This window comes from Homo sapiens, chromosome 3 (assembly GCF_000001405.40).
Source record: "Homo sapiens chromosome 3, GRCh38.p14 Primary Assembly".
NCBI classification, from domain to species: domain Eukaryota; kingdom Metazoa; phylum Chordata; class Mammalia; order Primates; family Hominidae; genus Homo; species Homo sapiens.
In genome coordinates, this window is record NC_000003.12 from 63807048 (window position 1) to 63822616 (window position 15569).

Below are 15569 nucleotides of genomic sequence, written 5' to 3' on the forward strand. Positions count from 1 at the left end.
TTCACGTCATTCTCCTGCCTCAGCCACCCGAGTAGCTGGGACTACAGGCGCCCACCACCACGCCCGGCTAATTTTTTGTATTTTTAGTAGAGACGGGGTTTCACCGTGTTAGCCAGGATGGTCTCAATCTCCTAACCTCGTGATCCACCTGCCTCGGCCTCCCAAAGTGTTGGGATTACAGGCGTGAGCCACTGCACCCGGGCCCTCATACATATTTTTTGAATGAATAATAAATAATATTAATGATCATTTGTAGGACAGTCTTTCACTCATATTTTTTTCATTTAATCCTCACAACAACCCTGGGGTGAGGGGTATGATTATTCTCTCTTCCATTTTCCACATGAGAATGCTGAGACACAGAAACACCAAGTGGTTTTATGTTATACAGCTAATCAGTGGCAGAGTTGGGATTTGAACCCAAAATTTGACTTGCTGGAACCAAATCTCATGTTTTCAAATGACTGAGATGCTTTCATGATTCAGGATGAACTTCTCTTGGGTAAAAATGAGAAAAAGCAAAAGTTGGCTGGGCAAGTGGCTCATACCTGTAATCCCAGCACTTTGCAAGGTCGAGACCAGTGGATCACCTGAGGTCTGGGAGTTCGAGGACAGCCTGGCCAGCATGGTGAAACCCTGTCTCTACTGAGAATACAAAAATTAGTCGGGCGTGGTGGTGGGCGCCTATAATCCCAGCTACTCGAGAGGTTGAGACAGGAGAATCACTTGAACCCGGGAGGCAGAGGTTGCAGTGAGCCCAGCTCGCCCCATTGCATTCCAGCCTGGGCAACAAGAGTGAAACTTCATCTCAAAAAAAAAAAAAAAAAAAAAGAAAGAAAGAAAGAAAGAGAAATAAATAAATAAATAAATAAAGGGAAAGAAAAGAAAAGAAAAAAAGAAAAAGTGAAAGTTTTCAGAATGTCAAAATTTGAGAAAGTTCTCACGCAACTGAACAATAGCTCTGGGGAGGAAGGAGGAGAACGACATAATGAACGAACTTTCCGATCAAGCAGATTTTGGCTCAGATCCTAATTCTGAGTCTCACTGGACAAATGACAACTTGGACAAGCAACTCATCTTCTCTGAGGCTAGAAGACAACTGTCACTCAATTAGAAGCCTCTGGCTGGACCAGTTAGGAAGCTCCTCATTGTTATTTAAGAGATAAGTGATACAGATTATTGGTCACTATGATTTGTCATTCATTCTCATAGAAAATGTAGAGTTTCTTTTTACATAAATTCATTATGTTTTATTAGACAGGATGTATGAAAGCTGGGTAAAAATAGTTCCCTAAATGATGTTATTTCATACAACTTCTGTCTAACCCTGTGGTGTCAGGAAATTACTCAATGCTCGAAGTCACAATGCATTTGGAAACAAAAAGTCATTATATGTCCTACTGTGCTGGCTTACTTTGTATTTTTCTCTGTTTTCTTCTTTCTCTCTCTTTTATTTGTTCTCTGCTTCCCTTAATTTCAGCTGAGCTTTTTCTTTACAGTGAAGGTTTTAGCAAAGGTAACTAAGGCTAGACTCTCAGAACATCTTTGGAAAAAGCAAATAATTTTTTTAAAGTGCCCTGAATTCAGGTCCTATTGCCTCTTCATTCCCGAATTAAAACTTCTCTTCCAATTTAGTTGGTCAAGCTTTTATTGAATGGTAAGGTTGGTCCCTAGGTATTAGGTATAACTTAAGAAATTCACAAGGATGAATAGGGCCTCATACCTACCCCTTCACTCCCTGCCCAGGTACACTCAGCCCAGGAGAAAATGTGATGTATCCAGGAAACAACAGTGAGGCAGACACTGTCAGTGCCCCACCCACATCCCTTTCACTCTTACCATTTCAGTGCACACAATCCCAATTCCGTCGGTACCTGTGGTGTCCTCTGGCACTGAAGTACTGGAAAATTAATGTGCTTTTTTTTTTCTTTTGGTCTCCATCAAAGGAGACTTTCCTCTCCAAAACCTCATGAATCTATTTCATGAAGGTGGCTGCAAGCCTCTCTCCAATCATGTATATTTTCACCATCCTCTTTCCTGAATCAAAAAATTATCTTCTACTTCCAAAGGTGGGCTTTAGGATATATAAAACCTTTCTGTTTAAGCAATAGTCTGAAAATTTCTGAACCATAAAATTTGTTAACTAGATATTTTTTATTTTTGCTCATTGACTTTCCTGAAACAGGCAAGGAAACAGATTCACCCCTCCAGCCTCCAGAAGGTAGCATAGCCTTGCCAACACTTTGAGTTCTTCCCAGTGAGACCCATGTCAGAACTTTTAACTACAGAACTGTAAGACAAATTTATGCTGTTTTAAGGCATCATCAAGTTTGGGATAATCTGTTGCAGCATGAAAAGAAAATTAACACAGAGGTTATTTTGATTATGTAAGAAAATATCAGTAAGCACATCTTACGTGAGTGAGCTGCCCATAGTGAATGGCCAATGTGCTAAACCTGAAATTGGGTAGCATCACTCCTTTTCTCAAAATCCTCTAAGAGCTTCTCGTCTCACACAGAGCAAAAGGCCAAACTCCCACAACTGCCTCCAGATCCCACATGTTAGGCCCTTCGTTATCTATCTGGCCTCATCTTCTACCACTCTTGCTCTCCCTCCCTCTGTTCCAGCCACACAGGCCTGTCTGTTCTTTGCACACATCAAGCAGTCTGTGCCACAGAGACTTTGCTCTGATCATTCTCCTCGTCCAAGGTGCATCTTCCCTGGATCTCTCCATGACTCATTTACTCATTTCCTGTAGGTCTCTGCTATTAGGTTGGAGTAAACATAATTGCGGTTTTTGCCATTAAAAGTAATGGCAGGCCGGGTGCAGTGGCTCATGCCTGTAATACCAGCACTTTGGGAGGCTGAGTCAGGTGGATCACTTGAGGTCAGTAGTTCAAGACGAGCCTGGCTAACATAGTGAAATCTCATCTCTACTAAAAATACAAAAAATTAGCCGGGGCATGGTGGTGCCTGTAATCCCAGTTACTGGGAAGGCTGAGGCAGGAGAATCATTTGAACCCAGGATATGGAGGTTGCAGTGAGCCGAGATCACACCACTGCAATCCAACCTGGGCGACAGAGCAAGACACCATCTCAAAAAAAAAAAAGTCATGGCAAAAACCGCAATTACGTTTGTGCCAACCTAATATAATGTCACTATAGCAGAGAGGTCTTCTCAGGCCAAATAAAAAAATTTCCCACCCCTGCAGACACTTCCTATCTCTTAAAATTTCACATATTATTTGTTCATTTTTTTGCCTCCTCCCTATCCCCCTCCCACTTAAAATACAAGTGTCATGAAATTGGGAACTTTCATCTGTTCCTCGCTGTATGCTCAGTACTAAGAACAGTGTCTGTCCATAGTAGGCACTTAATAGAGATTTGTGGAATGATCAGGTGAATAAATGAATACATAAAATGATCCTTTTTTGCTAACTGAAGTATATCAAGCCTATTGACCTATGGGTCAAGACCTTATTATTTCGTGACACGGAATGCACTTGAAAACTTGCTACTACATGTCATTTTGTTGGTTCGGATTCTCTATTCAATTCCACAGGTTGGGCCATGTCAATGACGGCTTATATCTGTATTCGATGGTGTCTTGTTGCCATTGCATTAAAGAGTGAATTGATTTTAGGTTTTTCTTCAATATATTTGCATGAGCTGAGAAACTTGGGAATAATTTGGTTTTCCACTAAAGGTATATTCTGAAAAACAATCTCAATCCCTTAACATACGATAATCTCTAGAAAAGGGGATCATAATTTTCCGAGAATATCAACCCATCCACCAAACTGGTTTTGTTTTGTTTGAGACAGAGTCTCACTCTCTCACCCAGGCTGGAGTGCAGTGGTGCGATCTCAGCTCACTGCAACCTCCACCTACAGGGTTCAAGAAATTCTTGTGCCTCAGCCTTCCGAGTAGCTGGAATTACAAATGTGCACACCACCACACCTGAGTAATTTTGTATTTTCAGTAGAGATGAGATTTTGCCATGTTGCCCAGGCTGGTCTCAAACTTCTGACCTCAAGTGATCCGCCTGCCTTAGCCTCCCAAAGTGCTGAGATTGCAGGTGTGAGACACCATATTCGGTCCAAACTGTTATTTAAGTAAGCAGGGCTGGCATTTTATTATGCATTTCCTGTTAAAATAGTTAAATAAAAAACTCTTCACTTTCTGAAATTAAGTCAATAACTAAAAATAATAAAAATAGAGCCAGGCACGGCCAGGCGAGGTGCCTCGCACCTGTAATCCCAGCACTTTGGGAGGCCGAGGCGAGCGGATCACGAGGTCAGGAGATCAAGACCATCCTGGCTAACACAGTGAAACCCCATCTATATTAAAAATACAAAAAACTAGCCGAGCATGGGGGCGGAGGCCTGTAATCCCAGCTACTCCGGAGGCTGAGGAAGGAGAATGGTGTGAACTCGGGAGGCGGAGCTTGCAGTGAGCCGAGATCATATCACTGCACTCCAGCCTGGGTGACAGAGCAAGGCTCTGTGTCAAAAAACAAAAACAAAACAAAAAAAAAAACAAAAAAAAATAGAGCCAGGCACACTGGCTCACACCTATAGTCCCGACTACTTGGGAGGCTGGGGTGGGAAGATCACCTGCGCCTCAGTTCAACTTGGGAGGTATAGCAAGACCCCTTCTCTAGAATAAAATAAAAAGAATAAAAATAATCATAGGCTCATAGCTGTATTACAAAGACAAATTGTGAAAAAATAGAGAATGCTATGTGAAAATGCTGGCATAGAATGATGGAAACTGAGATGCTGCCTCTTCATACTCAAGGACAAGAGGAGATTAAAAAAAAAATTGATCTCCAGAAAGACAGAACCAATAGAAAAAATATATTAAAAATAAAATTAATTTAAAATTAAAAAAAAAAACTAGTTGAACTCTGTTCATGGAGATTGTAAAATAATGCCTGACAGCTGGTGTAGAGCACTGGGAGTGGTAGCGACTGCGGTAAACTGAGAACTTGTTCCCACCCAACTGGGGTGCCACTCCTCTGCCTATCTGGGAATGTGGGCTGAGTTGCCAGGGACTCTTATTTTTTTATGAGGATCCTGAAATGGAAATTTTTATGTGAAATCTTCTGATATTCAAAATATCCTGTAGGCCAGGGTTGTCCAATCTTTTGGCTTCCCTGAGCCACAATGGAAGAAGAAAAATTGTCTTGGACCACACATAAAATGCACTAACAAAAATGATGGCTGATGAGCTAAAAACATTTTTTTAATCACAAAAAAATCTCATAATGTTTTAAGAAAGTTTATGAATTTGTGTTGGACCACATCCAAAGCCATCCTGGGTCACCTGTGGTCCACGGGCCACACGTTGGACAAACTTGCTATAGGCCAAACATGTCTGAGCATCTCCACTGTGTGTCTCCAGATTCAAGATAAAAATCTTTACCCAAACACATAAAAAAGTCAAAATATAACAAACTAAGTTGAAATAAAATATTTCTTACATTTCATTAGATCTTTCAGTCCTTAAGATACCTATCATTTATCCTTATTTTACTTGATTTTTTTTGTTGTTGTGAATAATACAGTTTGGCTCTTTTCCAATTCTAGAAGTGGTTGATTCTAAAGCAAATGGTTGAATTCATCAATTGAGTTGTTTTATGAATCAATTCATGCCATAATGAGAGAAAAAAAATTTAAACCGTTGTTATTATGCATTCAAAATTTTTGTGATTCATTTCTAAACTTTTGGGTTTAATTTTTTAGCGTAAATGTAATTCATATTCTTTTCCTAAGTCAAACAGTAAAGTCTATAAAGTAAAAAATTTTAAATCTCCTACATATTTCTCCCCACCTCTGCTGCTCTACCACTTTCACTCGTAATCTCCAGAAACAATCAGTTAAATCTTTGTTATACATTATTTCAGGATTTTCTATGCCTGTTGGCATGTGAATGTAGATAGGTGTTTTTAAAAAGATCTTCTTGTGTTCATAGCTTTAGCACATCCTGCCTCCACAGAACTCCACAGTACACCACAGATTACCTCCTTACCTGCGCGTCGGAACTCCCACACCAACCTTCTTCTTTTAATGGCTCCAATACCCATAGTATGCATGAAGCACCATTCATTTAATCCTCCACTGGTAGACATATGGGTTGCCTCTAGCTTTTGTTATTACAAATACAACTACATATATCCTTATATCATTGTGTACTTGTGTAGGATAGCTGTCCAGAGGTGGAATGCTGGCTCTGAGGCTGAAGATTTCAGATGCTGGCAGGTATTTCCAAATTGCTCTCCAAAGAGCTTACTCCCATTGATATCAACAGCATCTGAGAGGACATTTTGATTCATATGTTGTTTTTCCAGTGGGGTACAGCCCAGAGCACTGGGCAATTTTAAAGGCCAACACTGAGAAGTTAGAGAGTAAATGCCAACTGATAGACTACCAAATAATTATTTCAAAGCTATATGAGTCTTAAGTTAGAAATACTAACCTGGGGCAGCAATCAACACAAAAAACAAATGAAAAAAAGGCATGATTTAACTTGGAAGCCTGTTGGCTCTTCGAAGACACTTTACTCCAGCTGCACCTTTGCTCACTTCTGGGGAGTTCACCCCTTGGTAAGGAGTCTTCCCAGGAGAAACACTGTGTCTCCAGGCACCCTCTATACACTTCCCGAGACACAGTTGTTGCTGAGTGATCTGTAAAGTGATACCTCCTTCTCTCAAAAGGGCAAAAGCTTCAGCAAGAGGATTTGCTTGAGCCAGGTGGAAAAGCCCCCAGTTGCTATTTCCCCACATGCAAAGGTCTCCCAAATCCTGGTAAAACTGGGGTGGCCAGAATTAGTGAGGACTCTTCAGGAAACTCATGTATCAAAGGATTCTGCTTCACAATGATTCCGGGTCACTAAAGTGACATTGTCCTGTTCTACTCTATGTATTTACTTCACCCAGACTCAGAATAAAAATCTAGAATCTCAGCTTACCAAGTTTGCAGAGGGCTTACAAGTTGCTAGGCAAGGTTAGTATGCAACCAGATAGCAAGAAGATGCAAAAACAGTCTAATAACGGGCCAGGAGCCAACTGAATGCTTGTGAGTATGTTTAACTTAAAGCTTAGGGGAAAATCACCTTTAGGAGCACTGATGGGAGATACCTGGCTGAACAGAGAGTTAACATGAAAGCATCTCTGGAGGCAGCAAATTGGTGACCCACAGGCTAAATATGGCCTGCAGATCACATTTTTAAATGTGCGAGTCTTCTTAAAGATTTGAAGTTCAATAGAATTGGATTGGTCCAGTACTCTACAGTTTACCACAATTCCCACCCCTCCCTTTTACACCCCACCCACTGCTTCTCACATTTCCCTGCTTGGTTCCTGCGGTTATTCATGTTTGCAATCTCTGACTTAGAGGTTTCAATCAATTGCTATCTCAATAGGAGTCAACTGTTGTCATGGTTACCTGAATAGGATTATGCAATCTCAGACATGTTCAAAGGAAGAATACTGTTAAGAACAAGGGAGATTGTGTTTTGACCAGATTTTGTCCTGCTACAGCTGGCTTTTTGGCTTTTCAGAGGGACATTTACAAATGTCCGGGGAATGATCACACAGGGATAGCTCCAAGCCATGTCCTGTGAAGGGTGGTTGATAAAGAGAGTTGACTGATGGGGGACTCCTGAATGGGTGCCCTTCTCCTTAGTTCCACTGTTCCCCCTTTAGTTAAACCCTTGGACTACAGCAACAACTTAACACCCCAACTGAGTATCTCTTCTCTACTCACCCCCTATAGTAGGCTGTTCTTGCATTACTATAAAGAAATACCCAAGACTGGGTAATTTACTAAAAAAAAGGTTTAATTGACTCATGGTTCTGCAGGCTGTACAGGAAGCATGGCACCAGCATCTGTTTTTTGGGAGGCCTCTGGAAGCTCACAATCCTGGCTGAAGGCGAAGTGGGAGCTTGCACATCACTACGTGAAAGCAGGGGCAAGAGAGAGAGCAGGGAGTGCCACGCACTTTTAAACAACCAGATCTTGCAAGAACTCACTTGCTATCACGAGGACAGTAACAGGGGATGCCACAAAACCATGGGTGAGAAACTGCCCCATGATCCAATCACTTCCCACCAGGCCCCACCTTCAACACTGGCAATTACATTTCAATATGAGATTTGGGCAGGGACACATATCCAAACTGTATCATCCCCTATATCCCAGTTCATTTCAGGGACACATATCCAAACTGTATCTCCCCCATATCCCAATTCATTTCAGTATTTAACTTCTTAAATATTGCCTGGATCTGCACACTTCTGGTACTCCTCACCCCCATCTGTTGCCGGCCTGGACCAAGTGCCTACCTAATGACTTTTCAACACTCACTTTTTCCTCTCCAATGTATTCTCCAAGCTGCACACAGCAACATTTTAAAAACGTATGCATAACTATGCCTTCCCCATGTCACCTATGTTCCCACCACATTGCTCTTCTTCCTGCCCTCAGACATGCCTGGTTTGCACCTGCATGTGAACCTTTGCTCATGTCGTTTTCTGTCTTTGAAATACCTCTCCCAGATCTCAGCATAGTTTGTCTCTTTTTCAACATTAAATGTCTCACTTCAAACACCACCTCCTTAAGAGATCTTTCTTGATGATTTTGGAGGAGTGCCCACTCCCAGTCACTTTCTACCACGTTTTTCTACTTTTTATTTGTTTGTTTTTTTCTTTTCTTTTCTTTCTTTTTTTTTTTTTTTTGACAGAGTCTTGCTCTGTCGCCAGGCTGGAGTGCAGTGGCCTGATCTCAGCTCACTGCATCCTCTGCCTCCTGGGTTCAAGCGAGGAGGCGTGAAGCCGGGAGGTTCTCCTCCCTCGTCCTCCTGAGTAGCTGGGATACAGGCGTGTGCCACCATGCCCAGCTAATTTTTCTATTTTTAGTAGAGACGGGGTTTCACCGTGTTGGCCAGGATGGTCTCGATCTCTTGACCTCGTGATCTGCCTGCCTCGGCCTCTCAAAGTGCCGGGATTACAGGCATGAGCCACCATGCCTGGCCTGTTTTTCTTTTTATTTATTTATTTTTAATTCTTTTTTCTTTGTTGATTTTGTTTTTTTTTTTCTATTTGTCTCATAGCATACTTTGTCAGTACCTGAAACAATTTTCTATTGGTTAACATATTGGTGTCTGTGTCCTCCACTAGAATTGTAATTCCTGGGCAAGGATTTTAGTCATTTTCTTCACAACTGAATTCCATTTCCCTGAATAAATATATGAACAAGTTCCCTAAAAACCCTCAGTAAGGCTGTAATCCCAGCACTTTGGGAGGCTGAGGCAGGTGGATCACCTGAGCTCAGGAGTTCCAGACCAGCCTGAGCAACACGGTGAAACCTCGTCTCTACTAAAAATACAAAAAATTAGCTGGGCGTGGTGGCACGTGCCTGTAACCCCAGCTACTCAGGAGGCACAAGAATCGCTTGAACCCAGAAGGTAGAGGTTGCAGTGAGCGTGGTGCCACTGCACTCCAGCCTGGGTGACAGAGTAAGATGCTGTTTAAACAACAACAACAACAACAAACAAACCAAAAAAACCTCAACAACTCCCCATTGCTCTGAAGATCAAGACCAAAACCTTTAATTTGATCTATAGGACTCAAGAGATTTGGTCCTCCCTCCAGCTTATCACACACATCTACCTCTTTGCTCCAGCCACCCTAGCTTTCTTCCACATTTTCTTTTCTTTTCTTTTTTTTTTTTTTTTTTTGTGAGACAGAATCTTGCTCTGTCGCCCAGGCTGGAGTGCAGTGGCGCGATCTCGGCTCACTGCAAGCTCTGCCTCCCGTGTTCACGCCATTCTCCTGCCTCAACCTCCTGAGTAGCTGGGACTACAGGCACCCGTTACCACGCCCGGCTAATTTTTTTGTATTTTTAGTAGAGATGGGGGTTTCACCACGTTAGGCAGGATGTTCTCGATCTCCTGCTCTCGTGATCCACCCACCTCGGCCTCCCAAAGTGCTGGGATTACAGGCGTGAGCCATCGCACCTGACCGCTTTCTTCCACATTTTCAAAGACACTGGGCTTCTTCCACCTCCGGGCTTTGGCACATGCTGTTTCATCTGCCTGGGTCACACAAATTTTCACACGATTGGCTCTTTTCCCCGTTCAGCATTCAGGACCAATGACCTCATTGGACAGGCTTTCCTAACGCTCCATCTAAAGTCACTCCTCATCCTCAGTCACTCTATCCCATCATCCTCTTTTACTTTTTTCATAACATTTACTACCAGCTGAAATTAAAATGTTCATTTCCTTGTTACCTGCATCTCCCACAGCATATTAAGTTATATGAGTTCAGAGATTTTGTGTATGTTGTTCACTGCAGTATCCCTGGTGTCTAGGGTGGTGTCTAGGGTGGTGCCTGGGAACCACTAGGCATTCAAATATTTGTTAAATAACTGAATGACTCAAAGAAGCTTGGGAGGTAGCAGTTATTACTCCTGTTTTACGAACGAGAAAATGAAGGTCCAAAGAGGTTTTCGTTACCCGCCCAAGGACCCATAAGCTTGGAAGGGGTAGATCTAGAATGTAAATCCAGACACAGCTCAAAATTGATGTCTCTCTATACTCTAACTCTTTCCCCACCCCCTTCCCACTCCTTCTAGTTCTGTCATCTGCTTCAGGACTCCTTTGGGAACCTACAAGTTTTGTCACAGATGCCACAGCAGCAAGTGTTTCAGCCTATTACATACACACATACATGCAGACATGCACACACAGAGACATGTACATAGACACCCATGCACAAATAAAAAACAGCTGTCTTTCCTAGCATAAAATTCATCTCATTCATCTAGATAATTGATGAAATACAACAGAATTAAGGCAGGAGTGCCAATAATTGCATGAAAAATATTGCCCTGTTGCTAAAGAAAATATTCATGTATTCATTTATTCAAGCACCTATTATTTATTGTGCTCTGAGGATGCCAACAGATGAGGAAAAACAGACCAGGGAGGAGCATATGTCCATTTGGCCAAGGCATATTAGATATGCTCTACTTCAGCGTTTCTCAAATAAGGGACAGAGGAACATCTGCACCCACTCTCCTAGAATATGGATTCCTGGGTCTCATTCCCTGCTGAAGCGGAATTTCTATTTCACTTGAATTTTGCCATAAAACTATGGCTTGGGCACTATGAGTTGTCCCACTTTAGGGATGAGAAAACAAGCATGGGTGGGTTAAAATGAATTGGCCAAGGTCACATAGCTAAGCTAGAAATGAGAACTCATGCATAATTCCCAAATCCACTCTCTTAGCCCCTTAACATTATACACTTCATTCTAGACCATTTTAAAGCTCTTTTCCCCAGTACTGAAACATACAAGACCCTCACTACTCCAAGTGCAGTCTGGCATCATCAGCGTCACCTGCGGGTTTGTTAGGAGTGCAAATTCTTGGATCCCAGCCCAGATGTACTGTATCGAAATCTGCATCTTAAAAAGACCTCCAGGAAGTTTGTGTGCACTTGAAAGCTTGAGAAGTATGCTCCAGATTATTGATTAATGCAAACACAGAAAGCAGAGTAATTCTTGTAACTCCCAGAACCTTTCTAGAGGAGTTTTTCTTGTTAAGCATCTAGTTATTTGACTGAACAACTCAAACCGCGAGAGGGTAACAGGAATAAATCCTAGTGTCTGCTGCCACCTTGTGGTGAGAAGTTCCATCACAGGCAGAATTCGCTCTTCACCACGAAATAAATGGGGCAATGTTGGAAGGGAGGGGTGGATCAGGTCCTCAATTTAGCAATGTACTTTGAGAGACCACTGCAAAATTCCAAGATGTAATGAAAACCACCCTTGGGGTACATTTTGAGATGTCCAAACAACAACTGGCCTTGTCATATGTGTCCCACAGGACACAGAGAACATTCACCAGCTGTAACTGAGAGATCTAACAGAAGCTCAACTTGTGTTAATCAGCGTATCGTTGGTATTCCTATAGGTCCCTACCACTTCAGAGTTCAAATACGCACTTCTGAATGTGGTGGTCAATTAGTGTGTGGGTGTTTTTTGTTGTTGTTGTTGTTGTTTGATTTTTTTTTTCTATCCAAATGCCAGCATTGAGGCAATCAGATCATCATTTCTGTATTTGCCTTGTTCAAGAATCTGTGAAGTGTTCCACAAAGGTCCATGGAATTTCACACAGCTCTGTCAAATACATCACTGGTGACCTCTGTGAAGTTGTAAACAGGGCCAGTCCCACAAATAATGTCTCTAACACCTGGAAGGGAATAAGGGAAAGACTCTAAAAATTTCCTACATATTTTATTCCGAATAGCCCACACCTTGACAGTACATTCAGTCACTGGATGATTTTGTATTGAAGTCTGTAAGTTCAAGAACTAAAACAATCCAAAACGGCTACTACAGGTGAAGTTGAGAGCAATGGCCCAACCTCAGCTGTATCTACCAGAACCCTTTAAGATTGCCTACAGAAAAGTTGGACAGTGCCGAAGATTCCAGCAACTCAAGAAGAAAAATGGCTCATTCAAAAGGAAGGGGATAGAAAGGTAACAGAGATTCATTTCCTTTTCTGTCAAATGAGAGTCTTTGGGTTTGGCATAGTGGCATGTCCTTTTAAGCATTGCATTTAGGAATGAGGACTCTGGATGGATTGGCGGGGAGGGTACTGCGTTGGATCAAGAAATCTAGTGTGACAATGTAAGCTTCATTTTATGATCAGAAACATCTTAATTGTAACAGGGAAAACCTTTCCTTTCCACTCGAAATTAAGTTTCAATGTGGCATAGGAGACTAAAATAAGTTCTGATCCTATGTTGATATTTCAGCATCAGAATTTTGGACATCTCACATCCCGTGAAAATACTATTATTTTGAAAAGTCATTAGTGCATTCTTCGAAATAGGTCCACGATCAGTGCTTTCTTTCTCCTATCCCAGCAATTTGGGCTGCTGAAATATGTACTAATCACATTTCACTATGGACACATTGTTTAATGTAACGTTAAAACTGCCTTAGACTTGCTATTTTTTTGCCAATGACAAAACCATATAGACAGGTATGAAACATCCAAAATATAATATATTTTAATTTGGAAAGTCAGTGTGGTGATTTATTTTCCAATTTCTTTGGGCTTCTCTCTTACCAGGTCCATGGGCTATAGTTCAGACATGTAGAAGTGAGGTGTTTTAATGAGTCCTGGAAGCATCAAAGACCAAGCTTGTGAACTTCCATGGACAAAATAAAATACTGCAGAGATTTCCACTTTCAATGAAAAGTAGGCACTCCGGGGGAAGCAATACAACCAAATAAATTCAGTACCAACACAAAAATATTTAAAAACTTAAGAAGGGGAGGGTTCTGCTCATATCAGAAATTGCAGCAGTGTGTTCCTAGGCTCTGGAGCTAAATCACCTTTGTTAATTATGTTCTAGATAGATTGGGGATGAGAGTGGGGAGGATGGGAATGGGAAACACCTTCTAGAGATTCTGAGACCACTTAGAACTGGGCTTTTAACATGGGTGGTCTTCAAAATTCCTGAATCTCCTGAAACTGTATTTGCATTGTTCTGTGTCACAGTATGTGTATGTGTGTACATGTTTATAGTAGTAGAATCACTTAAAAATTAAATTATTATTAAAGGAGTCTCAGAGGGGTCTACGGGAGATTAATCCTACCCATAAGTTATCTCTGGGTGAATTAGGAAATGGTGCTCCCTCCTCAGGACATTTTACTGCCATCTGCCAGAAAATCATTATAATAACTATACACAAGTCTAAGGATGAAATTGAATAGCACCCCCTAGAAGTCATATATGTACATTTTGCAGAACCCTGCCCTTGGTCCCAGAAGGGAGGCTGCTAGCTTCTCCCTTATTTTGCCCTCTAGTGTGGGCTCCCTGCTTGCCTTTTAAGTTAATGGATTTTCCCCATAAGTTAATGGCTTTTCCCCACTGTTCTGATCCACATGGTAATAAAAAGTATCATTTATGGAATGCTTTTTAAGGTTCCAAACACATGAATTATTTCCTTTTATTTTCATAATTCTGAAAAGATTATGCCCATTTTCAAATGAGAAGACCAAAGCTTATAGAGGTTACATGACATGCCCAAGGTCACAGAGTTAGGAATTGTCCTGAGTTAAACCAATACCATTCAACTCCAGTGTCTAGGCTGTCACTGAACCACTTCCCATATATAATTACAGAAAAAGGCTGAATGATTTGGGTTCTGTTTAGAACAGTGTTTTCCTGGAGAGTAGTACATATGCTACTGATGGTACATGAGATATTTTAGGTAATATATGAAGAACATTGTTAATGGTTATAAATTTGTTTTAATCCATATTAGAAATATATGTTATATATTTAATACAACGTAATAGCATAATATAAAACCTGGGATTTCACCCAGAGAAATGAAAACTTATGTTCATACAAAACCTATAGATAAATGTTTATAGCAGCTTTATTCATAATAGCCCCAAACTGGAAACAACCCAAGTATCCTTCAATCAGTGAATAGTTAAACAAAGTGTGGTACATTCACATCATGGACTATTACTCAGCAATAAAAAGATATGAACAATTAATACACAAAATCTGGATGAATGCCCAAAGAATTATGCTGAGTGAAAAAAAGCATATCTCAAAAAATTACATGATGTATATTTCCATTTACATAACATTCTTGAAAGGACGAGAATTACGCAAACAGAAGACAGATTCGTAGATGCCGGTTTAAGAAAGGGGGGACCAGTGGATAGTGGATGTGGCTATAAAACATGAGGGATCCTGGTGTTACTGGAAATGTTCTGTATTCTGACTGTTTCAGTGTCAATATGCTGGTTGTGAAAATATAGTTTTGCAAGATGTCATCATTTGGGGAAACTAGGTAAAGAGCACACAGAATCTCCCTGTATTTCTTTCTTTTTTTTTTGTTTTTTTGAGACAGAGTCTCGCTCTGTCGCCCAGGCTGGATTGCAGTGGCGCGATCTCGGCTCACTGCAAGCTCTGCCTCCCGGGTTCACAACATTCTCCTGCCTCAGCCTCCCAAGTAGCTGGGACTACAGGCGCCCGCCACCACGCCTAACTAATGTTTTGTGTTTTTAGTAGAGACAGGGTTTCACCGTGTTAGCCAGGATGGTCTCGATCTCCTGACCTCGTGATCCGCCTGCTTCGGCCTCCCAAAGTGCTGGGATTACAGGCGTAAGCCACCGCGCCTGGCCCCCTCCCTGTATTTCTTACAATTGCATGTGAAACTATAATGATCTCAACATTAAAATTTTAATTTAAAAAACACCGAAATTTCATGGATATTATTACTTTGGGTGAAGCTAACAAAAAATAGTTAATTGAGGAAGAATATTAGGTAATAATTGTATCACCGTACAGGTGATACTCTAGCACAGTGGTGAACAACACAGACCTCAGGATCAGATAATCTGGACATAAATTATTTAATCTCTCCAAGCTTTAATTTCTTCATGTGTGAAGTAGAGATGAGAATATAAAGATTAAATTATGTTATACACATGAAAGCACTTGGAAGAGTGTTTAGCACACAGAAA

General features: G+C 41.2%; 1 protein-coding gene and 1 pseudogene across 5 annotated transcripts in view, besides 1 other annotated feature; one reads left to right on the forward strand and one right to left on the reverse strand.

The window, feature by feature from the left end:
- The window catches only part of CDHR18P (cadherin related family member 18, pseudogene), a 55641-nt pseudogene extending 49051 nt beyond the window's left edge, over positions 1–6590 (reverse strand). For both annotated transcript variants that reach the window (NR_197414.1, NR_197413.1), the window contains exon 1: positions 6481–6590. The product of NR_197414.1 is annotated as a cadherin related family member 18, pseudogene, transcript variant 2 (transcript). The remainder of the gene's footprint in view (positions 1–6480) is intronic.
- Positions 1–15569, forward strand: part of C3orf49 (chromosome 3 open reading frame 49) — a 68930-nt gene that overhangs the window by 27341 nt on the left and 26020 nt on the right. The window contains exons 1-2 of one of the 3 annotated variants that reach the window (XM_024453353.2): positions 7932–8079; positions 12410–12549. The exons of 1 other annotated variant lie outside the window; for it this stretch is intronic. In XM_024453353.2, the coding sequence (XP_024309121.1) occupies positions 12425–12549 (125 nt within the window). In that variant the 5' untranslated portion in view covers positions 7932–8079; positions 12410–12424. Of the gene's footprint in view, positions 1–7931; positions 8080–12251; positions 12550–15569 lie in introns of those variants that run through there. One more of the 3 variants, NM_001355236.2, reaches the window with a different exon arrangement.
- Positions 11599–11718: a silencer, noted in NCBI's record as "silent region_14497". NCBI's record gives its function as "represses an Ori minimal core promoter by ATAC-STARR-seq in GM12878 lymphoblastoid cells {active_cell/tissue: GM12878}" and the evidence as "EXISTENCE:reporter gene assay evidence [ECO:0000049][PMID:35858748]".